The sequence below is a fragment of the Homo sapiens genome, chromosome 17 (genome assembly GCF_000001405.40).
Source record: "Homo sapiens chromosome 17, GRCh38.p14 Primary Assembly".
In the NCBI taxonomy this organism is placed as follows: domain Eukaryota; kingdom Metazoa; phylum Chordata; class Mammalia; order Primates; family Hominidae; genus Homo; species Homo sapiens.
Window position 1 is genome coordinate 77,408,947 of NC_000017.11, and position 27,571 is coordinate 77,436,517.

Here is a 27,571-nt window from a genome sequence, read left to right on the forward strand (position 1 = left end):
GGACTCACTGGTGTCTGATGAAGCAGTGAGTTTGGATCGTGTCATGCCTCGGGTCCTGAGCCTGCAGGATTTTTCTGTGGGGCTGTGTGCTTCTGCTTCTGGAGGTGTCCAGAAGGCACTGACGTTCCTGCCGGGATGCCTTACTCGGAAGGTCCCGCTGCTCCCACCTCCTCCCATTTTCCTGAGCTGCTTGCAGAGGGCACCCAGGTCCCCTTTTACTTTGGGATTGGGTCTCTTTCTCTTTCCCCTTCTAAGAACAAGTACCCTCCTTCTCCGAACTGTCCCTGGAGCCTCTCAGACCTAGGTCTAGAGTGGGAAGTCCCGCATGTGCTGGGGGAACAGGAATCAATGCGGGAGGATTGGCCAGGCCCGGTGTGTCTCCTTCGTGGTGGGACGGGGTGGGGCCAGAGAACAGAGCCTGGCTCCAGAGCCCAGGAAGAGAACCCCTCCCCTCGCCGGCCTGCCAAGCACCGTGCAGTGGTGAGAGGAAAGGAGGGCTGGTCCGGGAATGCAGCGGGTGCCGAGCAGCTGTGGAATACCTTAAATAGAGCGCAGCTGCGGGGAAGGGTGGGGCCAGGAGGCAGGCGCTGGGGGCGGTTTCTCTGCTCCGCCCCCTGCAGCTCTGTGGCCCTGACCACCCAGCCTGGCCCCAGGATGGAGCCCCGGCCCCCAGACACATGGCACTGGGTGAGGCCGCCTCTCAGCACTTGTCCCAGGAAGTCAGAGCAGCTGCCAGAAGAGAGAGGAGCTGTGTCTGTACCCGCCGCCTCCCAGGCCCGGGACAGCTGCCGGGATTGAGGGTCTGCACAATGGCGAGCCTGTCCGGAGGGGCGCGCCGCGGCCAGACAGCCATGCTCTGTGCGGTGTGGACAGAGGGCACATTCAGCCCTGGAGGAGCGCACTCAGACTCCCCGCCTCGGGGCCCAAAGTGTGGGCAGCCCCTAACCAGACCCTGGATTCCAGCAGACAGCCTGGGAGGATGCCATGTGGTCCACCCTGACACACTGTCTCACCTGTGACCTCATTTCTGAGAGCTGCAGGGAGGCGCTTCCTCAGTTGGACTCCACTTCCTCTCCGGGGTTTTCTGTGGGTGTTATAAGTGACTCTGTCTCCTTCAGTCCAAGGGGGGCTCCTGGGGTATGGGCTGTAACTGACAGGCTAGAGTAGCCCATGGCCAGGGCTGAGCTTCCTTCCCGTTCTCTCTGAACACTGGGCCCAGGAAGGGGTTAAAGTGGAGATGCTCTGATTAAAGTTGAGGGAGGCATGGAGCTCCCCTGACCCTGTCCCCCCATCCCACTGCTGCTACTGGGTGTACTCTGTGGAGCCCCAGGACTCTTAAAGAACCCAGAGTGGAGATTCCCGGTCTCATCCAGTGCAGGTGAGGGGGAAAGTGATTTGTCCACAGTTACATGGCTACCATCAGCACACCTGGGTCAAGCTCGATTCCACTCCACGGCCCCTGTCTGAAACCTGGAACTGGAAATGGCCCTGGAAATCACTGATTCCATCTGCCGCCTTCCAAAATGGCCCGCAGAGGTTAAGATATAGACTCCTGTAATGCCTTGCCCACTCGTGTGTGGGGAAATGGCAGAGGAGCACCGGCTTTGCCCTCACACTGCCTGGGCTGCCGCCCCTGCCCTGCCTAGTGGCTTTCCTCTCTGGTCCGTTTTCTCATTGTGGAAGTGGGCACAATTCTTCCTGTGCAGCGTGGTTAGAGTGGACAGTGATGATTCGTGAAGCAGGGTGGAGCGCCTGGGGGATTCGTGTTAAACAAGCACATAAACAAAAGCCAACACAACCCTTACTTAATCAGCAAGCAGGCCTTGTCTGAAGCCCCTGGGCAGCACCTCATGCCATCCCTAGGTTCCAGGCCGGTGGTGTCGCCCCGTGTCTCTCTCACCCGCAAGCTGGTGTTTAGAAGCCCTGCTCTGTGTTCTGGCTCCCATTCTCCCTGTGACCTTTCCCTTTCTTCATCCTAAAAAGCAATGCACGACGGGGCGTGGTGGCGGGCACCTGTAGTCCCAGCTGCTTGGGAGGCTGAGGCAGGAGAATCACTTGAACCCAGGAGGCGGAGGTTGCAGTGAGCTGAGATTGTGCCAGTGCAGTCCAGCCTGGGCAACAGAACAAGACTCCCATCTGGGAAAAAAAAAAAAAAGCGATGCCCAGTCATTCTTAGATAGAAAATGAAGATCACATGAAATTTGGAAAGAAGTTTTTCTCTCCCATTCCCCAACTCTCTCCCAAGGGGTGGCCATGTTGACAGCTGGGTGTGGCATTCTCCTGAATTTTATTCCTGCAGAGTCATTCAGGGCTTGTGTAAAAAAAGTCAATGTGTAAATATAGACTTTTCAAGAACACAAAGGAAATCAGACTTCTGCTACCAGCTTTTATTTTTTCCATTTAACAACACTGTTGCCACTTGTAGATGTAGCACGTTCCTTTTTCTTTTTCTTTTTTTTTTTTTTTGACAGAGCGTGGCCCAGGCTGGAGTGCAGTGGTGCGATCTCAGCTCACTGTGGCTCACTGTAACCTCCACCTTTCGCCTTCCGCTTTCAAGCGATTCTCCTGCCTCAGCCTCCCAAGTAGCTGAAATCACAGGTGCTTGCCACCACACCTGGCTAATTTTTGTATTTTTAGTAGAGACGGGGTTTCACCATGTTGGCCAGGCTGCTCTTGAACTCCTGACCTTGAGATCCGCCCACCTCGGCCTCCCAAAGTAGCACGTTCCTTTTAATGGTTGTGTCATCAGCTGTCCCATGGCCCTGCCAGGCTTGTCCAGCTTCCCACTGTGATTGAGAGGCTGCAACAGATGTTCTCGCACTTGTACATGTGCACACATGACTGAAGGATGAGCTCTTAGTGAATTTCTGTGTCAAGGATGTGTGCATTTAAGTTTTGATCTGCTGGGCACAGTGGCTCACACCTGTAATCCCAGCACTTTGGGAGGCCAAGGCGGGCTGATCACTTGAGGTCAGGAGTTCAAGACCAGCCTGGCCAACATGGTGAAACCCCATCTCTACTAAAAATACAAAAATTAGCTGGGCATGGTGGCTTGTGCCTGTAGTCCCAGTTACTCAGGAGGCTAAGGCAGGAGACTTGCTTGAACCCAGCAGGCAGAGGTTGCAGTGAGCCAAGATCGTGCCATTGCACTCCAGCCTGGGTGACAGAGCGAGACTCCCTATCAAAAAAAAAAAAAAAAAAAAAAAATTGATCCTTGTTCCTGAATTGGCCTCTAAAGTGGTTACTAGAATTTTTTAGGACCCCTCCCCTCGTCGACCTGCTCAGCTGTCTGCTGGGCCCTGTGCAGTGATGGTCCAGCAGGGAGGTCCTATGCCCCTTACCCCTGGCTGAGGGCCAAATGCTCTCCAATTGGTGTTTTATTTTGTGCATCTCGGTCAAGCGAGAGGGATTATCTCTTCGTATGTTATAGGCCAGGGCCCTGTGTTCTCTTTTCATTTGGAAGGTGTATCCTTTTCTTGTTGAAATTTTTTAAAAAGAGTTCTTTGTAAGCCAGGCGTGATGGCTAACACCTATAATCCCAGCACTTTGGGAGGCTGAAGTGGGCGGATTGCTTGAGCTTAGGAGTTCGAGACCAGCCTAGGCAACATGGCAAAACCGCATCTCTGCAAAAATTAGCTGGGTGAGGTGGTGCGCCTGTAGTCCCGGCTACTCGGGAGGCTGATGTGGGAGGATCATTTGAGTCTGGGAGTTTGAGGCTGCTGTGAGCTGTGGTCATACCACTGCACTCCAGCCTGGGTGACAGAGTGAGATCCTGTCTAAAAAAAAAAAAGAGTTATTTGTACATCTTTATCACAGCAGGTACGAGTATCTTGTCCCCAGCTGCCTACTTTTGATTTTGTTTCTGGGATGTTCTTCTACACAGAACATTTTAATCCTGATATTGTCAAGTCTCTGCTTTCCCTTTTAGCTTTTGGAATTCACATCCTGTTTAGAGGTCTCCTGCGTTCTGAAATTATAGGAAAGAATTTCACCCACGTTTTCTTCTAGTACTTCTGTGGTTTCATTTTTACATGTTGAAATCATGAATCCATTGGAATGTATTTTGGTTTCAGCAGCGAGGTAGGGGTAGATGGTATTGCTTGGATACACAGCAGCGAGCTTGGTCTGGAGCGGGTGGGGCGTGTGTGTGTGTGTGTGTGTGTGTGTGTGTGTGTGCTATTTTTATCAGTTTTGGTGTCTGCATTGTGCTGGCTTAGCAAAAACAATTTGGATGCATTTCTTTTACCCTCTGCCTTCTGGAACATTTTAAGCAGCAACATAATAATCTCTCTGTTAAAACTTTTCAAGAATTCACTCGTGAAACCATCTGAGCCTGATACTTTTGGGGGAGTCTAGCACTTTAAAAACTTAAACTTTTTCCATGGGTCTGTGAGTTTGGGAGTTTTTCTTTCTTCTTAAAATTCATTACTATTTTTTTCCTAGAAAAGTGTCTTTTAGCTTATTTAAAATCCGTCAGCTTATTCCGAGGGGGTTGCTTTAGCTCGCTTAGTGAGGACAGTGTGCAGCGCGGTGATTGACATGATTGATCAGCAGAGCACGATCGATCAGTCGGTGTGCAAACATGACTGACTGTGGCCAGCGTCCTGGGATGCTCCATGTTGAGGCACATGTGTGCAGTGCAGGGTGATGTGTATTCTGAGAGGGGATGAAGCCACAGGACCCCTGCACCCTTAGGAGAGAGCCCCCCTCCCCAAGGCTGCAGTCTTGAGTAGGTAGTGACGGGACTGGGTCTAGGGGGCTGAGTGGTCCCAGCAGGCCAAGGGCTTCAGGAATTATGAGAAGTTTGGAGTTGCCCAGAGAGCAGCTTTCAAAACCAGTCTGGACTGCAGCCTCCAGAAAGACATGCGATTGACACCACGAACCAGGACACACCTATATATGGGGTGGGGGTGGGGATGGGATGTATTAATGAAACCAAATTTCCGTGATGGAATTCTTACCTTTACCATGCGTGTGCTACACTCAGTATTTTCTTTTTTTTTTTTTTTTTCCCCTCTCTCTTTTTTTCTTTTTGTTTGTTTGTTTTGGAGAGAGGGAAGGCTTTTTTTCATTTTTTTTTAAACAGCTTTATTGAGATCCAAGTAAGCTACTATACAATCCACCAATTTATTTATTTATTTATTTTTTTGAGACGGAGTTTCACTCTTGTCGCCTAGGCTGGAGTGCAGTGGCGCCATCTCGGCTGACTGCAACCTCCGCCTCCTGGGTTCAACCAATTCTCCTGCCTCAGCCTCCCGAGTAGCTGAGATTACAGACATGTACCACTACGCCCGGCTAATTTTGTATTTTTAGTAGAGACGGGGTTTCTCCATGTTGAGGCTGGTCTCGAACTCCTGACCTCAGGTGATCCACCCGCCTCAGCCTCCCAAAGTGCTGGGATTACAGGCATGAGTCACCGCGTGGCCCAATCCACCCATTTAAAGTGCATAATTCCATGGTTTTCAGTCTATTCAGAGAGTAGTGCAACCATCGTCACCACAACCAATTTTAGAAAATTGAAAATTTGAGAAATTTAGAAAATTTTTTTCTTAAGAAGAAACCCCGTAGCCTTTAGCTATCAATCCTGCCCTCCTCCTCCATATTTCCTTCCTATCTGTGTGGATTCTTTTTTTTTTTTTTTTTTTTTTTGAGATAGGGTCTCACTCTGTCACCCAGGCTGGGGTGCAATGGCTCAATCTCTGCTCACTGCAACCTCCACCTCCCAGGCTCAAGCCATCCTCCCACCATGGCCTCCCGAGTAGCTGAGACTACAGGCCTGTGCCACCATGCCCGGCTAATTTTTGTATTTTTTGTAGAGATGGGGTTTCACCATGTTGCCCAGGCTGGTCTTGAACTCCTGGGCTCAAATGATCCTCCTGCCTTGGCCTCCCAAAGTTCTGGAATTACAGGCGTGAGCTACTGCGCCTGGCCGATTCTAGACATTTCTTGTACAGAGAATTGCACGTTTGGCCTTTGTGTCTGGCTTCTCCACTTGGTGTCATGTTTCCAAGGTCCATCCACATTGTGGCAGGTGCCAGTGCGTCCCTGAGTAATATTCCACCATGGCATGGACCATTCCATTGTGGACAGACATGTTGCCTTCATCAGCTGAGGGACATTGGGTTGCTGCCACCGCTGGTGAGTGTATTCTTTTCAAATTAAAAAAAAAATGCTGGTCACCACCCACTAGATCGTTTTCTTGGCCCACAGGGTGGGACAAGCCGGCCTGGGTGAGGGCCAGGAGGTGGCCAGGTGGAGGCGGCTGGAGCGGCCCTGGGTTGCCTCTGGGCGCAGCAGGCAGAGGTGCAATGGCAGAGTCTGAGCAGGTTCCCTGGGCGGATCTCCATGCCGGTAATGTTTGTTTATTCAAGAAGTCTCGGCCAGGCGTGGTGCCTCACACCTGTAATCCCAGCACTTTGGGAAGTTGAGGCAGGCAGATCACCTGAGGTCAGGAGTTCGAGACCAGCCTGGCCAACATGGCAAAACCCCGTCTCTACTAAAAATATAAAAATTAGCTGGGTGTGGTGGCGTGTACCTGTAGTCCCAGCTACTCGGTAGGCTGAGGCAGGAGAATCTGCTTGATTCCAGGAGGCAGAGCTTGAACCTAGGAGGTGGAGGTTGCAGTGAGCCAAAATTGCGCCACTGCACTCCAGCCTGGGTGACAGAGTGAGACTATGTCTCAAAAAAAAAAAAAAAAAGAAAAAAAAAGAAATCTCCAGTGCTGCCCTGTGCCCGGCACCGAAGCCGAGGGAAGGCAGCATTAGTATGAGCTCCCAGCCCACCGGGCTCCTGTCTGGAGCTGACGTGCGACCAAGGCACACGAGGGAAGCATGGCGAGGTGGACGGTGCGGAGGCATAAGGAGCAAAATAAGGCAGATGCAGTGGCTCAGTGGCTCCTGGTGGCTGCGAGGAGCGTGGGCAGGACAGCCCCAGGAGGGCACCTGGAGAGCAGGGCCGGCTGGGGCAAGGTGTGTCAGGCACTTGTCAGGAGCAAAATGTAAGGGGACACCAAAGAGCTCAGGAATCAACACAGATAGTATTTAATGCAGTATTTTTCAATATCGAAATGATGCATAGTAATCTCTATGATGAACAAATGTTGGAATTTTAAATTAAGACAGGCCCAGCCCTGCACGTGCACAGCCCTGTCAGAGTTTGTTCAGCGTGGAATTTGATTTGTTTAAAATGTTGCTTCAAAATATTGTTTGATTCCTGGATTTTTTGGCACTGCCTTAACTTTTGCACCTGGACGAAGGCCTCACCCTAATCCCAGCTGGAGAGGGTCAAGGGCTGGTGAATTTGGCTTTGGACCTGCAGAGCTTGTGGTACCTGAGAGGTGGGGCCAGGAACAGGAAGGAGCTGGTGAGAACGGCACCCGGTATGGGATGGGGCCAGATCAGAGCAGCACTGTGGCTCTTTCCAACCCGTGGTTTTGCTGCTGGATGCTTGGCGTTGGTGCTGAGCCCCCGGCCCTCTGAACGGAGTGTGATGAATAACGGGGCCGGGGAGCTCTTGGGCCCCTCCCTGAAGCAGCAGTGAAGCCAGGGACATGCCGGCAGCAGGCAGGGAGAGGGACGTCTGGTCTGTGCCTGGAGCCAGCTGCCCCATGGAGGAGCTGGGTGAGGATGCGGTGGGAGGAAGACCTTCCCAGTCCTGCATCCTCCGAAGCATAACTGAGTGCTTGTGTGGCTTGGGGGTCACTCTGGTCCGAGGACAGTCTTGCTTTGCTTAGCCAGGCTTTGAAGAGCCACCGGGATACGGACAGCAGCCCTGCTGGGTGGCAGGTTGTCCACCCTCGCCCACTCAACGCTGGAACTGGATGCAGAGCACCTGGATGGCCAGTCCCAGAGTGTCTCTGACACTCCCAGTCACCTCATCCCTTAGACCAGGATAAGATGCGGGATCCCAACCTCGAGCCTCCCATGGGCTCCATTCCATGTGCTCCCATAAGCCACTGGGCCCACCTCCTGGCTCCAGGGCTGTCTGGCCATTTGGCATCTTGGTTTCCTCATCTGTACAATGAAAATAATAGTCCCAGCCTTCTCGAGGAGTTACAAGATGCCTTTCGTGTGAAAAACTGGGATTTGGTACCAGACTATCTGGATTTGAATTTTGGCCCTACCCCTCCTAACCTGTGGCTTTGGGCCAATCTGGCCTCCCTGTCCTCAGTTTCCCCATTTATAGAGCCATCTCATTGAGTTGCTGGGAGGATGAACATAAGGAAGTGTACTCATGTGCCCAGAGCATTGTGATTTTACTTATTATTACCAAACGAGGCACACAATAAGTGCCTAATAGATGCTCAGTGTCATTTCACGGATTCTGTGTGCCTTGTGTGTCTCCAGCAGCCAAGCTCTGGAGGTGGGGAAGCTGTTGACGAGTTGCACGAGGTAATTAGAAAGAGGAGGCCACAGGTGCAAGGGTTTGGGTGACACCTGTGGACAGAGAGAGGCCGATGGACCCTGGCAGAGGGGAAGGGGGCCCTTGCACATAGAAAATGTTTCCTGCATCCAAGATCCTTGTGACTCTGGAACAGAGGCAGCAGAGGTCTGCAAATTCCAAATCATAAACCCAGAAAGCATAGAACATTCGTAGAGAGGACCAGAAACATCATATATCTTAGTGTGTATAGAATTTTCCACATAGCCAAACAAAAGCACGTTTCTAACTGAAGCTGTTGGAGAGTTCCTGAGGACTTTATACCAGACAAGGGCCGGTAAGTGGAAGTTCAATACGCAGGAGCCATTCCTTTTGTTCACAAATGTTTGCCGTCTTTTCTGTCTATATCCGCATTCATGTGAGGGCACTCATAGGTCCACCGTCCAGCCCCATGCTTTGTTTGCTACCAAAAAATTTCTTAAGAATTCCTCAGCTGCAAATCCTCCTACCGGAGGGGGGGTTCCAGGAACCCAGCCTTGCTCGGGGTTGGGGCACCTCAGCACCTGCTGCACAGGCGTTGGTCATTAAAGGTCATGTGCCGTATCCGTGGGCCCTCGGGGTCTGGTGGCACCTGGGCACACAGTCCAGTGGCGGCCTCCTACCTGCCAGACACTGGGAGTGGGGGGCTCCTCATTCCTGTTCCCTGGCGGTGGGGGGAGTGCCCCGAGCTGTCACACATCAGAACCCACCGACTCACACGTTGCGGCACCTTACAGCCCCTTGACAGCCTCTCAGCCTGAGAGACCATCAAACTGAGTTCCTGGAGAGGGTGGCTGTTGAGGCCTGGACACAGGTGTGGACAGGATAGCCCTGCCTCATCTCGGAGTCCCGCTCCGGTTCAGCCTCTTGTGGGTCTGAAGCTCAGGCTGGGCCAGTCCCTGCCCCTCAGATGGCCGGAAAGGCAGCCCAGCCCCACGGCCTCCTTGTCAGGCTCTGAGAGCCGCCTGGCCTCCAGCTCTGCTCTTTTTTTTTCTTAAGATGGAGTTTTACTCTGTTGCCCAGGCTGGAGTGCAGTGGTGCCATCTTGGCTCACTGCAATCTCCACCTCCTGGGTTCAAGCAATTCTCCTGCCTCAGCCTCCTGAGTAGCTGGGACTACAGGCGCGTGTCACCATGGCAGGCTAGTTTTTGTATTTTTAGCAGGGACCGGTTTTCACCATGTTGGCCAGGCTGGTCTTGAACTCCTGACCTCAAGTGATCTGCCCACCTCGGCTTCCCAAAGTGCTGGGATTACAGGTGTGAGCCGCCACGCCCAGCCTCCAGCTCTGCCTTGATTTTCTCTTAAGGCCGTGAGGATGTCCACGCCTCCTCCTTTCCTCACGGCCCATTGATGTCTCCAGATGCTCTGCAAAGCCACCCTCCCCTCGGGAGCTCCCCAGCTGGTGACGGGGGACCTTTTGGGGATCACTGCCCAGGTAGTCATGTAGGTCTGTGGGCCGTGCTTCCAGGCTGGACCGAGACCCGGTGCATGGGGTGCTTCTGGTCTGAGCTGAGGCCCCTGGAAGCCACAGCCAGGAGGCAGCAAGGGACGGCTGTCATGTCCCCTCTCCCCTGTCTCCCAGGGTCCCTGCGGGACAGATTTCCCTGCCTGAGCCTCCTGGTTGCCCATACCCTGGCCTCCCAAAGCCCAGCCTGAAGCCTTAGGCACCCTACAACCTGCTTCCTCTAGCAGCCTGCCCTGTCTCTTCTCTGCCGATGTTCCTGAAACTTTCCTGCCTCTCCTTACCTCTTGGCCAGAGAGAGACTGGAGACCCTGTGGGAACCCCCGAGGGGAGGGAGAAGGCCGCTGTTTGAACGGAGGTGGTCTTTCCCTCTGCCCCTCCCCAGGCGGGTCACACTTGCAGGCCCAGCCTCCTGCTGTGGCAGCGCTTGGGGTGTCGGCTGCCTCCTGGGCACGAGTTGGGAGCTGAGGGAGGCGCTTTCAGGACCGGAGTGGCAACCCAGCTGGAGGAGGAGTAACAGGCCCGTGGTCAGCAGCAGCCGCCGCAGGGACCCCGGCGCTGTACCTGTGCCCCAGCTGACCCCTCCCGCTTCCCTAGGGTGGGCCGGGGATGGTGGTCTGTTGCCCAGCCCAGGAAGAAGAGGGGCCGTAATCAGCAGCAGCCACCTCAGGGGACCCCAGCGCTGTACCTGCGACCCAGCTGACCCCTCCCCCTTCCCCAGGGCTGGCTGGGAATGGTGGTCTGTTGCCCAGCCTAGGAGGAAGAGGGGCTGTGGCTTCCACTCTAGAGGTCTCTCTCCCGGTCCCTCCCCCGGTGCTGGTCTAACTGCAGGCCTGCCTTAGGCCGTGCCGGCACCTGCTGACTGACGCTTAGCGGATGCTGATAGGAGAGGGCTGGGATGGGGAAGCAGCAAGTCCCGGTCACTGTGGGCTCGGGTTACAGATGGTTGAGGCACCTCCTGGCCATCCCCAGGAAGCAAGGCCCCACGCAGCCTCCGACTCACCCACTGCCCGTGTGTATTTCAGGAGGCTGCATCCCCCAAGGCCCCCACCAGGTAACTTCATTGGGCTGGGTGTCGCTGCAAAACCACCCATTGGGTGCGGTGGTCTTCTGGTGGGGGGCATGGCTGGGGAGGATGCGGTGGAGGAGAAGCCAGCTCCGTGGTTGGGGGGAGGGCGGACTATCCGTTTCCTGTCTGTCCCCTGAACTGGAGCTCATGGTCCCTCCCCCAGGTGCCTGGGCCATGGAAGAGGTCACAGCCCTGCCTTATTCCTGTGGCAGCCTAGGGGAGCCCTGGCCAGTCCCGTGTCTCCTGGGAGGGCGACAGCCTGGTCAGGCTGCAGGGCAGGACTGGAATGCAGACCCCTGCTTGGCCATGCTGTTGCCTGGCTGCTCTGTCTGGGGACCTTCTGTTCAGGAAGAGAGAAGCGGGCCGGACAGCCCGGCTCAGTGATTGGAAGCTCAGCTCCCCATGTTCAGTCCAGCAGGAAGTTTGCCTCCTCGGAACACTTGCGTGCTTCTGCATGTGTCTTCTTGGCTGGTGGTTCTGCGAGGCCCCTACTGGGCTGCGTCATGTCCTCTGGCCACCCTGGCCTTGGTGCCTGGCCCCTGTGAAACAGAGATACCTGGGCAGTCCCCCACTTGTGCTTGCAAGCCTGTGTGGCTTCAGTGATGGCTGATTCTGCTCCACCCAGAGGACCTGGGAATCCTCAGCCCAACTGTCCAGAGGAGTCTTTCTCAGTGGGGAGAGCCTGAGCTGTCCTCCTGGTGGACAGTCCTTTAGATCTCAGGCGGACTTCCCTGCCGGCCGTTCCTCCTGCTGCCCCTGCTCCTCTGTCCCCCATCTGTCTCCCACCCTCTCCCCTGCAGCAGCCAGCTGGCACGGGGACCTCCCCTTCCCTCTGGGATTGTGAATGAGACGACTTTCCTGGTCCTTCTGGGTCTAGATCTTTCTGGCAACAGTCAGTGAAACCCTTGTCTCAGGTGGGAGGAGAAGGCTCAGTATGTGGTCACAACAACGGTCCTAACCACATCACTCTCAAACGCTGGCTTTCACTTACCCCTTGCCCTGCCCAACAGTTACTTTCATCATCCCATTTTCCAGATTAGGAAATCAAGGCGCAGAGAGCTTCAGCCACTTGCCTGAGGCCCCCACAGTTAAGTGTCTGGATTTGAACCCTGGAGCAGCCTGGCTGCTGAGCTGTCCTGGAGACGGGGTACTGTGCAGTGGTCGGGGTAGGGGTGGAGCTCTGCCGTCGCTGACTCCCGGGCTACCTGGAGTGATAACACAGCCCAGTGTCTGGGCCCCTGCCTGAGACTTTGGCTGGATGCCAGGAGCCCGAGACCTTCCAGCTCTTTCCTGTGTAAGGCGCCATGGGGTGAAATGAAAGAAAACCCCAGTTAGAAGGTGTCCCCCTCTTCCTTCAGTCCCTCAGCTGCCCTGGATTTTGAAATAAGACACCGCCCGTCTGTGGGGTGAGCAGGAACAGATTGGAACCGCATTTCTCTCCCCCCAGTCACAGCTGCCAGGAGCTCATCTTTCTCTGTCTCCTCCCCCTGCCGCCTCTCCCCACAAGACTGGGCTGGATGCTGCTGGGAAAGTCAACAGGAAGTCTTTTGGCTGCGGTGGAGGTGGGGGTCTGTGCTTCCCTGGGGACCGAGATGAGGGCTCCAGGTTGGCTCCGGCAAGAGCAGGGAGGCTCACGTCTCTGCCTGCTGGTTTTGCTTCCTGTCCTGGGAGAAGGTATCCACATGTCCCAGAATGCACCCTCTGCGTGTACAGGGATGGCTTTTGGGCCATTCACCTGAGGTTTATTGATCTTTCTCTTTGGAACTGGAGTGGCTCCTCCACGGTGGATTGGGCTGAGCTCTCTGCCTCGGCCGACGTCTTTCCCCAGGCACTTCCTCTCACCGTGCCAGGGTGCAGGTTGCTAGTGGATGGGTCTTCACCCTCGGGGATTGGCAGCTGCCACGCTCATTTCACAGTCGAGACACCCTGGCCGAAGGTTCTGCTAAGCTCCATGGAGTGTAGGGATTTTTTTTGAGACGGTCTCTCTCTGTCGCCCAGGCTGGAGTTCAATGGCCCAATGTCCCGCTCACTGTGATCTCGACCTCCTAGGCTCAGCAGTCCTCCCATCTCAGCCTACCAAGTAGCTGGGACTACAGGTGTGTGCCACCATGCCTGGTTAATTTTTTAATTTTAATTTTTTTTTGTAGAAATGGAGTCTTACTATATTTCCCAGGCTGAACTCCAACTCCTGGGCTTAAATGATCCTCCTGCCTTGGCCTGCCAAAGTGCTGGGATTCCAGGCATGAGCCATTGTGCTCAGCTGGGGTTTTCCTTTAACCCTTCCTGGCCCTTCCCAGGTGCAGGACCCGGGCCTCAGCCTTATGTGTTCTTGAACAGCTCTGGGCTCTGTCCTGTACCTCCTGGGCGCGTGGTCAGGCCTCTCGTGACATCAGCAGGAGACTCAGGTGAAGAAGCAGGCAGAACGGAATGCTTGCTCACCCAGCCTCGGGGCCAGGCGGGGCGGCCAGGACAGTAGCAGTGGCTGGTGTGGCTTCCTGGGAGGTCAGCCCATTGGCGTGGCCAGCGAATGGGGAGGGGAGCTTCTCCCCTTGTCTCCCCTCATTTCTGGTCTCTGGGCCTCCAGGGCCAGGTCTCCAGAGTTCTAGGTGGAGGATGGAGGTCAGGGAAGCTGGGGTAAGAGCGGGCTGGGGGTGGGTGGTCAGGCGGATCCTGGAAAACCATCCTCTGCAGGTCCCGCTTTCCCCAGGGAGCACTCAGGGCTGGTCCCGGGGAGCCGGGCTAATGGTCACCTCGGATGGTGCAGGGGTCCATCCCCATGAAACCGGGCCCATCCCCATGAAACTGGGCCCACAGAAGCTTTTGGTTCCGGTTCTGTTCTGCCCCCTGGCTCTTGCTTCCAAAGTAGGACTCAGGATAGCTCTGAATTCCCTGCCGAAATGCAGCTTCCTGGGCCCTAACCCAGCCCTCCAGAACCAGAGTCTCTGGGGTGGGCCCTCTGCTTGTCTAGCAGCCTCCAGGGGACACTTGTGCCTGCCAGAGCAAGTCTAATAAGCACTGCTGTAAACCCCTCGTCCCCACAGCCTTCTGGTTCGTCTCCCTTTTCCTGCTGGGATCTGCATCAGGATTAAATGCCAACATCAGGGATCAGGTTATACTTGTGAACCCTGAGACAATACCTGCATCTTTTTTTTTCTTGAGGCTGTCTTGCTCGCTCTGTCATCCAGGCTGAAGTACAATGGTGTGATATCCACTCATGGCAACCTCCACCTCCAGGGTTCAAGCAATTCTCCTGTCTCAGCCTCCTGAGTAGCTGGGACTACAGGCTCACACCACCACACCTGGCTAATTTTTGTATTTTTAGTAGAGATGGAGTTTCACCATGTTGGCCAGGCTGGTCTCGAACTCCTGGCCTCAAGCGATCCGCCCGCCTCAGCCTCCCAAAGTGCTGGGACTACAGGCGTGAGCCACTGCGCCCGGCCTGATACCTATATCTTGACCAAGCTGCTGTGGAAACATTGAGTTCCCCTTGATAGTTTTGTCCACAGAGTGAATGTTTAGGAACCGGCGAGGCATCTCTCACCCCCACCCAGATGGCGGCCTGGAGGCAGCGTTTCTGACCCTGTGATGGGATTTGTCTCTCTTGTCCAAGAGACTTTAGAGATGTGGCCCCTGAATGTGGGGGCCCCTGTTGGGGTGGGAACGGGAGCTGGCCCTGGCCATTGTCCAGTGACCCCATCTCAGTGCCTCGATCCTAGCACCCTCGATCTCAGCGCCTCCCCTTCCCCGGCTCCGCGCGGAGATCACGTGGCTTGCGCTGAGCAATCCTCCACTGCCCCCGTCGCGTTCCTGCTGCAGGGAAGCCTTTCCAGGGAGCCAGCTGACACATTTGGCCTCCATTATTTGTTTTTGAACAGGAATGAAAGGAGAGAGTGAGTAAGAAAGTGGCAGGAGGTGGGGGTTGCAGAGTAGGGGAAGGTCAGAGAGAGGGGAGGAAAGATCTGGAAAGTCCAGGCATGTGCTCTGGAAGCAGGTGCCAGCGATGAGCTCATCTGGAGGGTGGCCGCCCGCCCTGAGCCCTGCCTGGGGCCAGCAGGGAACACTCTGCCAGGGCATGTCGCTGGGAGCCTGTCCTTGGCTCACTTTCTGCTGCTTTGAGCGCTGAGCAGATTTGTTTCCATTTTAGGGACAACGCAAGGAGGCTGTCATTCCACCCCTCACCTTATTAATATTTCATGAATCATAAGTGACCACTTACTGCGTCCTGACGTACTCCAGGCGCTGGGCTCGAAGCTTTATGCGCTTCATGGGATGTATCTGCACTATCGCCGTAGAAAACGGTTCCTGTTACTACTGCAGAGAAGGCACCGAGGCACAGAGAGGTTGAGGAACTGGCCTCAGGCCACACAGCTAGAAGCGGCTGACCCTGGCTGTGAACACAGGGCTGCTTGACTCCAAAGCCTGAGCTGGTTTGCAGCGAGGCTCATGGTTTCTGTGCCACTGTTTGAGCCTCTGGTCGAGCCCCTTGGCTCAGTGGGGGGCCCAGTGACCTACCAGCTGTTCCATTATATGTTGTGGACACCTCCACGGCCCACCTGGGTGGGAGGGAAGGGGCTTCAGGAGGTGGGAGGGGTACAGGGAACACAGTCCAGCCTGCTTGGGCCCAATACCTTGACCTTCAAGGTACCCCTTGAGGGTAGCATGAGGCTAAGCTCTTGTTCTCCTCCAGGACTCTGTTCCTGTGAGGGCCTCGGGGTCCCTTGCTTTTTTCTGGGGGCCTTGCTGGTCAGGATCACAGAGAAGCTCTTTGCTGTTGATCTTTCTGCCTCTGTATCTTTTGGCAAGCCATTTTATGACTCAGTTGCTTTGTCTGTAAAATGGGTTGAATAACATTGTCCTGCCTCGGAGGGTTTTTGGGAGGATCAAATGAGACCTGTTGCACAGAAGCCCTTTGTAAGCCATGCTGACTGGCGGTCGCCGGGCCCCCAAGTGAATGGGCATCCGGGCACTGAGTGTGTGGACTCAGTACTCGGAAGGAGGGGCTGGGGGGTACCTAGAACTCCTGGGAGGCTTGGACCCCTGCTCTGCTCAGATTCTGAGCTTCTCCTTGGCCAGTTTAATTCCCATCAGTAGGGTGAGGGTAACCAGGACTTACGCATAGTTGGGCGAAGTCGAGTGACCACATGTGGAAGTCTAGCGTCCTTCATGCAAAGTGGGCAGGCGGCCAAAGTGAGCTCTGCTCCAGTCCCCCCACCCCCGGGGCTGTTCCTGGCGCCCTGCCCTCCCCCAGAGCCCCACTGACCTGCACCATGTGACCCGGGCCTGGGAAGATGGGCCCAGCTGTGGGAGGTCGTGCGGGCTGGGGACTGAGAGTGCCGGAGGAGGGCCTCCCAGGAAAACCCAGCTGCACAGGAAGCCGGGCCAGCGGCCTCCGGAAGCCTCTGGGCTTTGCAAGCTGGACTCCCCAGATCTGTGGCTGTGGGGCCCTCTCCTGCCTGCAGCTGAGAGCCCTTGACCCGCACCTGAGGGCTTCAGAGGTCCGGGAGGGGGATGTGACCGTGTCCCCAGGGTGAAGCCCACCCGAGTGTCACTCTGGATACAGCCCTCACCTCTTCCTGGCCCCCTCTCTGGTCATGGGGACGCTGCCTGGGGGGGGTTCCCTTACATGGAAGGAGCTGCAGCTGAGCTGGCGGGCCTCGCACACCCCCAAGGCCGCCTGACTTCCAGCCTCCAAGTGGGGTTGCATTCACCACTCAGGACCTGGAGCCTCAGCCAGAGAGGGACCCTCCACTGCCTCTTTCTCTGTCTCTTGGGAAAGGTAGGGTCTTTGTGCCCCCTCCCACCCAGGGACCTGGCATGTTGGGAGGCTAAGAGGAAGCTGCCCCCCGCTCATCTACCCCCCAACCCTCCCAGCCAGCAGAGTTTTACCTGTGTGCTTAGAATCTGTGCGTGGAGCCAGAAGTCACAAGGTTGGCCCAGCTGTGTCTGACCCTGGTTGTGCGGTCTTGGACAGTCCCAGCCCTCCTGGAGCTGAGCATCCTGATCTGTAGAGGAGAGGCTGCTGTGCCGGCCCCGCAGGGCCCTGTGCAGAGGGGAGTGTGTGCGGCTGTGAGTTCAGGCCATGCCCTCAGACTGGAGGATAGGATCGGAACAGTGGGTCAGGATGGCCAGAGGGTCCCAGCCTCAGGAGGAGGCCTCCACACCTCCCAGCACCTCCACACCAGGAAATGCAGCCAGGCCCCCAGGCCTCCCATGTCAGGAAGCAGCACCCCGCCCCCCACCTCTGGTTGCCTGGGCCTGAGAAGTTGAGCACTCCTCCCGAATCCGAGTGCCCTCTGACCCCTGCTTGGGTAGTTGTCCCTCCTGAACTGACCGCCTGTCCTACACAGTCCCCTGTGGTTTGCCCGACAGGGTGGCCAGCGAGTCCCCTGCACAGCACACCTCCCCCAGGAGTGCTGCCTGTGATGATGGTGTAAAGGGTGCCCCCCCGAGCCCCCGGAGGCATGCAGTGGCGCAACAGCGTGAGCCCAGGAGCCCCGGTGAGCTCCTGGATGGAGAATCTGTTCAGATCACTCCCCAGCCTAAACCTTCCCTGGGTGTCTGCTGTGCTTGGGGCGCTGACTCATCGTGGGGCGGCCTGTGAGACCCTACGTCACCTGGCCACTCCCCTCAGCCCCTGTTCACTGCACCGGTCCCCTGGCCTGGCTGCTCCTGGAACATGAGGGCTCATCCTCACGGAAGAATATTCACTTGTTCCCTCCTGGAAAGTCCCTCCCTAGACCTCCTGGCCGCCTCATTCAGGTCTTGCTGAAGCGCTGCCATCTTGGAGAGGCCTCCCTGTCACCCGCAGTTAAAACAGCCCTCCCATGCCTGTGGGTGGCTTTCTATGGGGCATGGATGAGTATTGGAGAGTCTTGCCGTTTATTTGTTCATATGCCCTCTGGGAGGGCAGGGGACACTGACTTGTGTTGTGGGTGCCTTGCATGTCACGGGTGCTCAGTGAATGCCTGTTAAGCATTAGGGGAGCACAAAGGAGGGAAGCCTCTGTCCAACTGGAGCAGTCAGGGAAGACTTCCTGGAGGAAGTGGTATCTGGTCTGCTTAGAATGTGGCGATTTGTCTGTATGCAGACATTAGATTAGAGGGCAAAGGCCATTATCATAACTTAGCAGACAGCTACAAGCAGCTAAGGAATTGCTATGACATGGACTGCTCGTGATTGGAGCTAAGAAGGAGTCAGAGACAGAGGTCCCTGTGCTCTGGCGTGAGTCCTTGGGGGAGGCTGAGCTCCCAGAATGTGGGGCCGCCTGTGCAGAGGCCGGAGGTGGGAGACACACCTGTGAGTGCCGGTGAGTGTGGGGTGAGCCACTGGGGCTGGATCAGAAGATGGGAATCCCTAAACCCACCAACCAGCCTTGGTGCCCTGGGAGTGACAGGAGACGGGGCTTCTGGGGGACTAACCCAGCACAAGTGGACGAGATGGGATGCAGGGGAAAGGACAAAGCTCTCTGAGGCTTTGGGAAGCTGAGTTAGGGTAGAGCCATGACAGGGTGAGTTCCAGAAGCAACACAAGAAAAAATAGCTAGACTGGGTTTTCCCTTCACTGTGGGAGATGCCCCACCTCACTTCCCCCGTCCTCCGGGCTCTGGCAATGGGCTGGGCACAGTGAATGGGTTCCATCTGCAGGAGTGGTCACACCCCTTGGGCACAGCTGCCTCATACACTGTATTGAGATGGGATCCGAGGCCGGGAAGAACAGCTTCTTCTGTAGGTTGACATTGTCAGCCTTCGGGGAGGGAAGGACGGCAGGGGGCCTGGAGCATCTCCTTTTGCCATCCACACTCTGTGCCTGCCTGCAGGGTCTTGAGCCCTGTCTGTTCTGCCTCAGTCCTGGTCAGGAACTTGTTGGAGCCCATAGGGGCAGTCAGGCTGGAACAGGAGGAGACCAGGCCGGCAGGGGAGCCGAGAGGGGGCCCTGGACAGCACCCAGGGCTGAGTCATCCTGGGCCTGCCCGACTTGCTATTTGGAGCTGTTCCCGCTTGCTCATCATGTGCAAGGTCCTGATCCACTCGGGTCTGTTTAACCAGCGCCCCTCCCCAGGCCCAGTTAGCCTGGTTTTCGTTCGATTCATTTATTGTCATCAGTGCCATCCTTGCACCACGTAACTAGCCTTTGCAGCATGCCAGCCACCAAGCTCAGGGCCCTCTGTGCATCTCCTGTAACCCTCACAGCAACCCGGGAGGCACAGAGAGGCTGAGTCGCTGGCCCATAGTCACACAGCAGGTATGGGGCATTGCCAGGATTTAGCCGGATCTCTGACTCCAGGGCCTTTCCAGGGCCTTGGGTGGGACACTGGCAAGGAAGCAAGGTATGAACACTGGCCCTGCCTTGGACAGAGCTCGGGGACGGTGGCCTGGCAGGCCCAGCTGACACAGTGACCCTGGTGCAGGTTCAACCATTGGCAAAGTGTTCAAGTACACACAGAATCTCAACTGGGGAGACAGGCGAAGCGGTCAAGGGAGGGCTGTGAGTGACAGGTGGACACTGTACCTACTGGCAGATCAGCTGACCTTGGTGCCTTCTGGAGCCTTTCAACTTCCTTATCCAGAAAAAGAGGAACTAACAGTTCCACCCCCAAACTGGGTGGGAGTACCACATTCGAAATTGAAGCAAAGCTGGTCGTGTCACAGGCTCGGCAGATGTTAGCTGTGCAGGCAACTTAGTGACCATTTGAAGTAGGCTGTGCGGCGGCATCCTCATCTTGCAGATGTAGTCCAGAGAGGTTAGGGCACTAACCCTGGGTCACACAGCGACAGCTCAGGCTACAGAGAGCAGTGCTGGATGGGAGGGTGTTGGCAGCTTCAGGCACAGGCTGGGAGGGCTGTGGGGTCAGCAGAGGGAGGGCACACTTCCCAGCTGGTGGGGTTCCCTTGTGCCTCAGTACTCATGTGGGCCCAAAGGAGCTGGAAGGAGGGAGGTTAGAGCCACCCATGGGTTCAGAAGCTGATAAGCAGGTTATTGACTCTGAATTTGCCTCATCGTATGTAAATTGGGGACAAATTTGGGGATTTAATGATATAATGTAAGAAGCAGACATGTCACAGCCCTGGTTATACAGTCAGTGTATAATAAGTGGTAAGCCGTCAGAGGAGGCAGCCGGTGAGAATGGGAGCATCTCAGCAGCCCTCCGCCCCCTGCTCCTGGTTGCAGATGTACCTGTTCTTGGCTATTTGTGCCCCAGCTCCGTGTCCTCCGGTGTGTGTGAGGCCAAGCTCCTGGGGTGGGGACTTGGGGGTGTGTCTGCAGCTCCTGAGGCCAAGACCAAGGCTGAGGCCGAGGCTGAGGCTGAGGCCACCTTGGTGAGGAGGAAATTGCAGGTGGAGAAGCTCGTTGACCGTGACCTTGATCTGACCGTAATTTTGATGGTGCCGATGCCGTCAGCACGCAGGCCTCCTGCCCTCGCCACGACTGGCTCCTGCAGCCCACCTGGCTGAGAGGTGTGCTGGCTCTCGCAGGTTGCAAAATGGGGACATCACCGTCCGCCTGGGCTACAGCGTGCTCGCCGATTGCATTTGGGGAGGGACTGAGGGCTGATTGTGTTGTGGGGATGTTGGCAGAGAATCAGAGAGGGCATCCAAAAAGGCCAACAGTTCGGTGGGGAGAGGAGGCGCAAGGCTGGTTCCTGTTTTCTGGGCTTTGATCGAAAGGGAACAGGGGACACATCTGGGGACAGTCTCCTTCCTGGAGGAAGAAGGGCTTAGGGTGCTGGTGTGGAGTTTGCACAGATGGGGATAATGAGCTGGAGGGTGCTGGGCAGGAGCTGGCCAGTAATAGGCTGACGAGGGAGGCCCTGCTGGCTGGGCCTGGTTTTCAAGTGAGCATCCTGAGCTGCGGGGACCCAGGGGGTCTTAGAGACCTCAGAGCTGAGACTCGGGACCACAGAGGGGTGGGCTGTGCTCAGGGCAACACAGCGGATGGGGCAGATGTTGCGAAACCTGTCTCTCTGCCTCTCTTTCTCCTGCTACAGAACTGGATCCTCCCAGCTCATGGCTGTCAAATCCTTTAGATGCTTCTGGGTTCCATGGGCGCCTTACACTGGCTTCCCTGTAGGACAGCAGACCCTGGGGGTTGGCTCTGATGGTATTCACCATGGGGTACCCCATGCAAGCACAGTGCTTTCACGCCCAGCCTCCCAGCCTGTGGAGTAGGCCTGTGTCTGGCCAGCCTCACTTTGTGGCCAGAGGAGGGAGACAGTGGTTCTGGAGACAGGAGCTGGCCTGGGGCTGCCCTCCCAGCCCCTGTTCTCCCAGCTCATCTCCTTGCCTTGCGGGTGCTGGCCACCCTCCCCCCGCCAGCTCCATCCCCAGCTTTCTCTGCCCGAGCCGTGACCTGTCAGTAGGGGGCAGTGGAGGCCTTGAAAGTCCTTGGAGAGGACTTTGAAGCAGTTTTTACAAATCTGTCCCTGGAAAGTCTCTCCTGTCACACCCCCAGCGGCTCCCTCCCTCCTAACATTTTTCCTGGGGTTGTCATGCAGCGGGGGGTGGAGGAACCCACTAGGCCGTGGATAGAGCAGAGCCATGTTGACACAAACCCTGGCTGAACCCACATGCTCCCTACAGCCAGCGGCCGATCACTGGAACCAGGGAAGTGACCTCATAGCAAGGGCCCGCAGAGCAGCCATCACGCATTCCCGATCTTGGTTTCTGGACCCAGCTCTGGAAAAGAAGCCAGATCCTAGCCACTTGGAGCTGCCTAGGGAAGACCCCAGCCTGGTGCCGGCTGACAGCTCACTGGAACTTTTCATCTGCTTGGCCAGGTGATGCCAAGGGGCAGAGGTTAGAAGTGCTAAGAAGCAGGCCGAGGGTGGTGGCTCACGCATGTAATCCCAACACTTTGGGAGGCCAAGGCGGGTGAATCCCTTAAGGTCAGGAGTTCAAGACCAGGCTGGTCAACATGGCGAAACCCCATCTCTACTGAAAATACAAAAATTAGCCAGGTATGGTGGTGCACGCTTGTAATCCCAGCTACTCTGGAGGCTGAGGCAGGAGAATCTCTTGAACCCGGGAGGCAGAGGTTGCAGTGAGCCGAGACTGTGCTACTGCACTCCAGCCTGGGCAACAGAGCAATACTCCGTATCAAAAAAAAAAAAAAGAAGAAGAACAAGAAGTGCTAAGAAGCATCTGTCTTCCTGATTGAAAAGCAATCTTTGCTGGGCGTGGTGGCTCACGCCTGTAATCCCAGCTTTGGGAGGCTGCGGTGGGAGAGTCGCTTGAGGCCAGGCGTTCGAGACCAGTCTGGGCAACAGAGGTGCTAGGGGTAGTGGCGCTTGCCTGTAGTCCCAGCTCCTCAGGAGGCTCAGGTAGGAGGATTGCTTGAGTTAGGAGTTTGAGGCTGCAGTGAGCTATGACCACACCACTGTACTCCAGCTCCTGGGTGACAGGATGAGACCCTGTCTCAAAAAACAAAACACAAACAAAAAACCAACGTTTATCTTTTGTGATTTTAAAAATCACACCTACTTGTGACAAAATAATTAAATTAGAAAATGTAAAGGAAATGATCAATAATAATTGCGTCCTCCAGACAAACACTGTTAACATGTTCACGTTTCCTTCTAGTCTTTTTCTACATAGACACTCAATACTTATTAATTTGTTTTGAACTAAAGATGGTTTTCTCTGCTTTGTATGAGAACCACCTCAGCCAGGCACGGTGGTTCACGTCTATAATCCCAGAAAGCTGAGGCAGGCAGATTGCTTGAGCCCACGAGTTTGAGACCAGCCTGGGCAACATGGCGAAACTCCATCTCTACAAAAAAACACAAAAATTAGCCTGGTGTGGTGGCACATGCCTGTGCTCCCAGCTCCTCAGGAGGCTGAGGCAGGAGAATAGCTTGAGCCCGGGAGGTAGAGGTTGCAGTGAGCCAAGATCGTGCCACTGCATTCCAGCCTAGGCAACGGGAGTGAAATGCTGTCTCAAAAAAAAAAAAAAAAAAAAAAAAGTTGCCACGTTGTCACCTCTCTCAGGGATTTTCATCCTTTCTACTTTTCGCCCAAGACTTGCCCTGTAAAAGGATGAGGCCAAATAGCCATGGGAGGGTGGTACTGGATGTTCAAAAAAATGTTTCGTGGCTGGCGGGACTTAGAAACAGGTTGGGGAGGTTTCAGCAGAGGGTGGACCCCAGCTGGGGGTGGGGGGCAGCAGGGGGGCCCCTCACATGCTCTCTCTGCGTGTTTCATGGGGCTGCCTGTGAGGCCGTGTGAACCAGAGCCCGGCTGGGAAGCCACATGCTACCTGGACTCTGACCTTTCCTGGCAGCATGACCTTAGCCAATACGCTCAACTATGTTCCCCTCTGTAAAATGGGCTAATAGAAATGTCCACTCGAGACATGATGAGAAACAAAGGTGTTCATAGAGCAAAGTGCTTAGAACGGTCCTGGCATGACAGGAGCCCACATGTCAGTGCTGCCGTTGGCATCGTCATCATCACGGCGGCATTGGCTGCTTTGTTTCTCCCTTGTCCCTGTCACCTTCTTCCCTCAGCAGGCTCTCATTCACTTGTTCATTTATTCATGGCCGAGGCCCCGTCTGTGTCAGGCCTGGTGCTGAGAACGGGGGTAGAGAGATGGGGGCTGTGCCCTGCTCCCTGACCCAAGGGTTCCCTTTGCAATGTGAAGTTCTTGGAGACTGGACCCTCAGGCTGTTCCACCAGCCCCTCCTCAGGCCAGCTTAACCCTTCCGTGCTCGTTTTCTGAGCTGTTAGAGGAAGAGAGCGGGAGGAAGGATGGAGTGGGGTTTTTGTGGGGACTGAGCGGGGGGTGTGTGAGGCCCTGGAAATGGTGCCTGCGGCACTCACGCAGCATTAGCTTTTGCTGCAGTTGCTGTTTGGAGAATATTCTTGGATTTCAGGACACTGATGACAGAAGGTGGAACGCTTTTTCTGGAAGCCATCAAGAGGGGACCACCGCGGCGGCTGAGCAGAGTTGCTGACTTGTGAGCTGTGGCCTGACCACAGTCACTGTTCTCATGAGCGAGGCCCCCTGTGGTCCCCCTCCCAGGAATTTCTGGCCCCTTGGCAGGGGACAGTTCAGGGCTGGGGGTGGGTAGTGGTGTCTGCAGGCCCTCTTGGAGTCAGAGAATCCCCTGTCGCCGTGGCGGGGCTGTTCCCTCCTGCCCCTCCCCTCCCGCTGTGCTCTCAGCTGCTCCGACAGGATGCTTTTGGCCTGAGAGACAGAAACCCCAACTCTGAATGGCTTCAGCCCTCAAGAGAATTTGGAGCTTTTTTGTGCAAAATGAGATGTTCTGAGCATCGAGGATGCTGTGGGGGATCCTCCATCCCACCATCTCCAGCCGTGGTGTCCCTCTCGGTCACAGGATGCTGCAGCCACGTTGCAGGGAAGGAGAGCCTCCCTTCCTGTGAGCCTAGGGAGCCCCTCCATGCAGCCCCTTCACTGGCCATTGCCTGAGACCCGACCTGGTGGCTCCTGCCCCAAGGAGCAGAAAGGGGGTTCGCTAGGTCAGGGTGGGGCTGGGTGCGAGGACCCCCCCCGGCCAACAGGGTCTGCTTAGGTGTCCGTCCTGTTGGGGCAGCAGGGAAGGGACCCACATGTGGCACTGGGACACGGAGAGGCTTTTGTGCCTGTGACGGCCAAAAGGGATGGCGCCCCAGCCACGTTCCCACCCACCCCGAGGCCCAGCATGGCCATGCCGGAAATAGCAGCATCGTCCCCCTCACTGTCCTGGCTTGCTTTCAATAGGCCAGAGGGGTGGGGCTGGAGCGGGCGTCTGACCTGTGGCTGGATCTAGCTGCCCGTGGACAGGCTGTGAGTGAATCTGCAGAGGAAGGGAGATGGGAATGCCGGGACCTTCTCCTGCACCTCCCGAACCCCCGTTCCCTGTGAGTTAGATGGGGAGTGCACCCCTGCCCTCCCCTCCTGGGTATCCCCTGCGCCCCCCGCCCCAGGCACTTGATGTTGCCTGTTCATTTTCCCTCTCTGCCCCTCCCGCTGGCCCTTCCCATATGGTCCTAATTAGGACCTTCCGCCCGTTGGTGGATGGGCAGAGAGGGGAGCTTGCTGTGGGGCCTCCCCCGATCGGGGGACTTCCCAGCACAGAGCTTTCTGGCCTCTGCAGGGACGCTGTGTGTGCCTGTGTGAGTCTGGCGTGTTAGAAGCGCTAAGCTGCAGCTGTTCTGTGCGTTTTTCACATTTCTCACTTCTCAAAGGCCCTGGGTTTGGTGTCTGTGGGCTGGGGATCTGTGTTGGGGTCTCCAGGAGGCCCTTGGTGGGAGAGGCAGGGCCCCTTCCCCTTTAATCTGGGCAACCTTGCTTTGGCCTGCTGTCTGCGGAAAGTGCCCTAGGATACGGTGGCAGGACTGGCTGGGGTTCTGGCTCCAGGCCCAGCCCCAGCCCCTGTCAGACTTACCCTCCTTGTGCCTCCGTTCACCCTGTCCACCCGCAGGGCCTGCAGGAGCATCCTGAGAGTTGGTAGGGTGGCCTGCCCGGCGTCCGCACAGGGTCTGCTGGTGGGTGGCTGAGGCTGCGGTGAGGTCTCCATGGCTCCCTCGTCCTGCACATCCTTCCCTTGTTGTGTTGTCTCGCTAGCATATGAGCCCGTACTGCCTCTGAGTCTGCAGCCTGTTTTCCTTACCAGGTGGCTAAGCAGGGTGGCAGCCAGGGTGGCAGAGTCCCATTGGCCTGCAGGGGACCCTCTGTGGGCTGCAGGTAGTCCCCTGTGGTTGAAGGTGCCCTGGCAGGACCTGCACCATGACCCCCGTCAAAGCTCACGTCCAAGGCATTTGTGGGCACCCCCGCCCCAGACGTGAGGGTTGGCATCTTCTCTTGCACGTGAAGCAAAGGCCTGTTTGAAGGAGCGTGTGGAAGCCTGGGTGTGATGAAGGCAAGGACCGGTGGCTCACCCCTCTTGCACCTGGACCTTGGGTGGCAGGCCTGGGGCCTTCAGTCCTTAATTCAGGAGGGTAGCCAGTCGCTGGAACTAAGAGTGAACTTCAGCTGTTGTTGCCATAGCTGGAGGGAAGAGGGGAAAGGAGGCGCTGCAGGGGAGCAGAGACCTCACCCTTCCTCTGCCGACATCAGGCTGCCGGTGCTGGACGGGGCCCTGGCAACCGTGGCAGGAGTGGTGATGTCCGATGATGGTAACAAGGGCTTCCTGAGGACCCCGAGCTGTCTTAAGGGCTCTTTACCTGGAGTAAGTATCCCCTTTAATCCTCCCAACAACACTGTGAAATTGATTCTGTTGTTATTCCCATTTCACCGATGAGGAACCCACAGCCCAGAGATGTTAAGTAACCTGCCCAAGCCTCCCTCTGAGCATGGCAGAGGGAGGGTCCGAATGCGGAAAGTCTGGCTTCAGTGCCCCCATCCCTAACCACTGTCATTTACCTCTTCGGCCAGCCCTCTGATTGCAAAACCTGAGGCCCAGAGGAGTGCAGTGACTTGGCCAGCTTCGCACGGCAGGTTAGTGGCAGAGCTGAGCAGTGTCTCCCATGCCCTGATTCTGTGGCTTCTTGAGGTGGCTCACCCCTAAACACGCCCCCCATGGTGGCTCTGTTTCCTCCTCTCCTCTGAACCTGCCAGCCTGTGCTCAGGCAGGGGGAGAAGTAGAGCAACCATGCCGGGCGGGTCGTCGTGCCCCAGTGCCGCCTGCCCTACACCTGATTGGCAGCAGAGTGGCCCCTCCTTGGTGTGGTCTGGAGGTGCCAGTGGTCACTCATCAGCACAGCCCAGTCTCACACATGTCACTCCCAAAGGATGTTGACACAGAATGAAGCAGCTAGGGGAGGCGGACGCTTTGGCACGAGGGTGGCGTTTCTGGTAATCCGTAGTGCTGTTGTCTGTGGCTGCCTTTGGCTGGCATCTCACCTCCTCCTGGCTGTCCTGCAGCCACCTGAGGGAGGTCAGCATGTCGCCTTCATCCCAGGACAGTGTGAATGCAGCAGCGCAAGCTTGCCAGCGCCGCACTGCGGGATCTGGAGGCCTTTGCTCCTGAGCCCTGCCTCTGTGTAATCCCTAAAGCACGGACTTCTTAGGGGCTTCCATTCCTCCACCTGGAAAAACCTTACACCGTTTAGGGCTTGAGGCAGGGCTAGAGCATGGAGACGTTGCTGGAGGACCAAGGGAGAACTGAGCGCGTGTTCTCTTGGCCTCAGCCTCGTGTGTGTGTTTATGCATGGGTACTTTGCCATCCACACTGGCTTCCACGGCTGGGTGGGAGTTGAGTTGAGCTCGGCGGCTGCCTTTCCACCCTGCGGGCCTGGTTGGGGAGTGTGAGGATGCCTGCTGGAAGCCAACGTGCACGAAAGAGTTAATGGTGGATCCCATTTCCTCAGCCCCCTCTCCAGCTTTCCCAGGGAAAGGGCAGGAACAGAGAGGCCTTATCTTCAGAGGAAGGGGTGGGCGGGGACACAGCGCTGTTCGGCACAGTCCCCTCTGAGCCACCCTGCATGTTTCATTCCACCGACTTCTGCAGCCCAGCTGTTCAGAGCGGATCCAGAAGGTGGAGAGAGGGTTTCCAATAAGCAGAGGATGGAGTGAATGTGAGATTCATTACTGGGATTTGGCAAAGCAAAGAGCCTCACTTTCTCCCCGCAGATGGGACGGGGGCGGGGCTGGAGCCAGCGGGGTGGGGGTATCCAGCAAGAGCT

General features: G+C 56.2%; 1 protein-coding gene and 1 long non-coding RNA gene across 8 annotated transcripts in view, besides 9 other annotated features; one reads left to right on the top strand and one right to left on the bottom strand.

Annotated features, from left to right (window-relative positions):
- Window positions 1-27,571, top strand: part of SEPTIN9 (septin 9) — a 219,098-nt gene that overhangs the window by 127,448 nt on the left and 64,079 nt on the right.
- Window positions 268-772: an enhancer, noted in NCBI's record as "H3K27ac-H3K4me1 hESC enhancer chr17:75405296-75405800 (GRCh37/hg19 assembly coordinates)". NCBI's record gives its function as "activates a minimal SCP1, AML or CMV promoter by ChIP-STARR-seq in naive H9 embryonic stem cells {active_cell/tissue: H9 hESC(naive)}" and the evidence as "EXISTENCE:reporter gene assay evidence [ECO:0000049][PMID:30033119]".
- LOC112268199 (uncharacterized) lies at window positions 8,238-26,428 on the bottom strand. The gene is made up of 2 exons (XR_002958141.2): window positions 25,333-26,428; window positions 8,238-22,356 (listed from the first exon to the last, which is right to left on the bottom strand). It is a non-coding gene; the product is annotated as an uncharacterized LOC112268199 (long non-coding RNA).
- Window positions 10,655-11,322: an enhancer, noted in NCBI's record as "H3K27ac-H3K4me1 hESC enhancer chr17:75415683-75416350 (GRCh37/hg19 assembly coordinates)". NCBI's record gives its function as "activates a minimal SCP1, AML or CMV promoter by ChIP-STARR-seq in naive H9 embryonic stem cells {active_cell/tissue: H9 hESC(naive)}" and the evidence as "EXISTENCE:reporter gene assay evidence [ECO:0000049][PMID:30033119]".
- Window positions 13,327-13,992: an enhancer, noted in NCBI's record as "H3K4me1 hESC enhancer chr17:75418355-75419020 (GRCh37/hg19 assembly coordinates)". NCBI's record gives its function as "activates a minimal SCP1, AML or CMV promoter by ChIP-STARR-seq in primed H9 embryonic stem cells {active_cell/tissue: H9 hESC(primed)}" and the evidence as "EXISTENCE:reporter gene assay evidence [ECO:0000049][PMID:30033119]".
- Window positions 14,128-14,932: an enhancer, noted in NCBI's record as "H3K27ac-H3K4me1 hESC enhancer chr17:75419156-75419960 (GRCh37/hg19 assembly coordinates)". NCBI's record gives its function as "activates a minimal SCP1, AML or CMV promoter by ChIP-STARR-seq in naive H9 embryonic stem cells {active_cell/tissue: H9 hESC(naive)}" and the evidence as "EXISTENCE:reporter gene assay evidence [ECO:0000049][PMID:30033119]".
- Window positions 16,895-16,984: an enhancer, noted in NCBI's record as "active region_12832". NCBI's record gives its function as "activates an Ori minimal core promoter by ATAC-STARR-seq in GM12878 lymphoblastoid cells {active_cell/tissue: GM12878}" and the evidence as "EXISTENCE:reporter gene assay evidence [ECO:0000049][PMID:35858748]".
- Window positions 17,617-18,525: an enhancer, noted in NCBI's record as "H3K27ac-H3K4me1 hESC enhancer chr17:75422645-75423553 (GRCh37/hg19 assembly coordinates)". NCBI's record gives its function as "activates a minimal SCP1, AML or CMV promoter by ChIP-STARR-seq in primed H9 embryonic stem cells {active_cell/tissue: H9 hESC(primed)}" and the evidence as "EXISTENCE:reporter gene assay evidence [ECO:0000049][PMID:30033119]".
- Window positions 19,745-19,804: an enhancer, noted in NCBI's record as "active region_12833". NCBI's record gives its function as "activates an Ori minimal core promoter by ATAC-STARR-seq in GM12878 lymphoblastoid cells {active_cell/tissue: GM12878}" and the evidence as "EXISTENCE:reporter gene assay evidence [ECO:0000049][PMID:35858748]".
- Window positions 24,925-25,074: an enhancer, noted in NCBI's record as "active region_12834". NCBI's record gives its function as "activates an Ori minimal core promoter by ATAC-STARR-seq in GM12878 lymphoblastoid cells {active_cell/tissue: GM12878}" and the evidence as "EXISTENCE:reporter gene assay evidence [ECO:0000049][PMID:35858748]".
- Window positions 25,507-26,320: an enhancer, noted in NCBI's record as "H3K27ac-H3K4me1 hESC enhancer chr17:75430535-75431348 (GRCh37/hg19 assembly coordinates)". NCBI's record gives its function as "activates a minimal SCP1, AML or CMV promoter by ChIP-STARR-seq in primed H9 embryonic stem cells {active_cell/tissue: H9 hESC(primed)}" and the evidence as "EXISTENCE:reporter gene assay evidence [ECO:0000049][PMID:30033119]".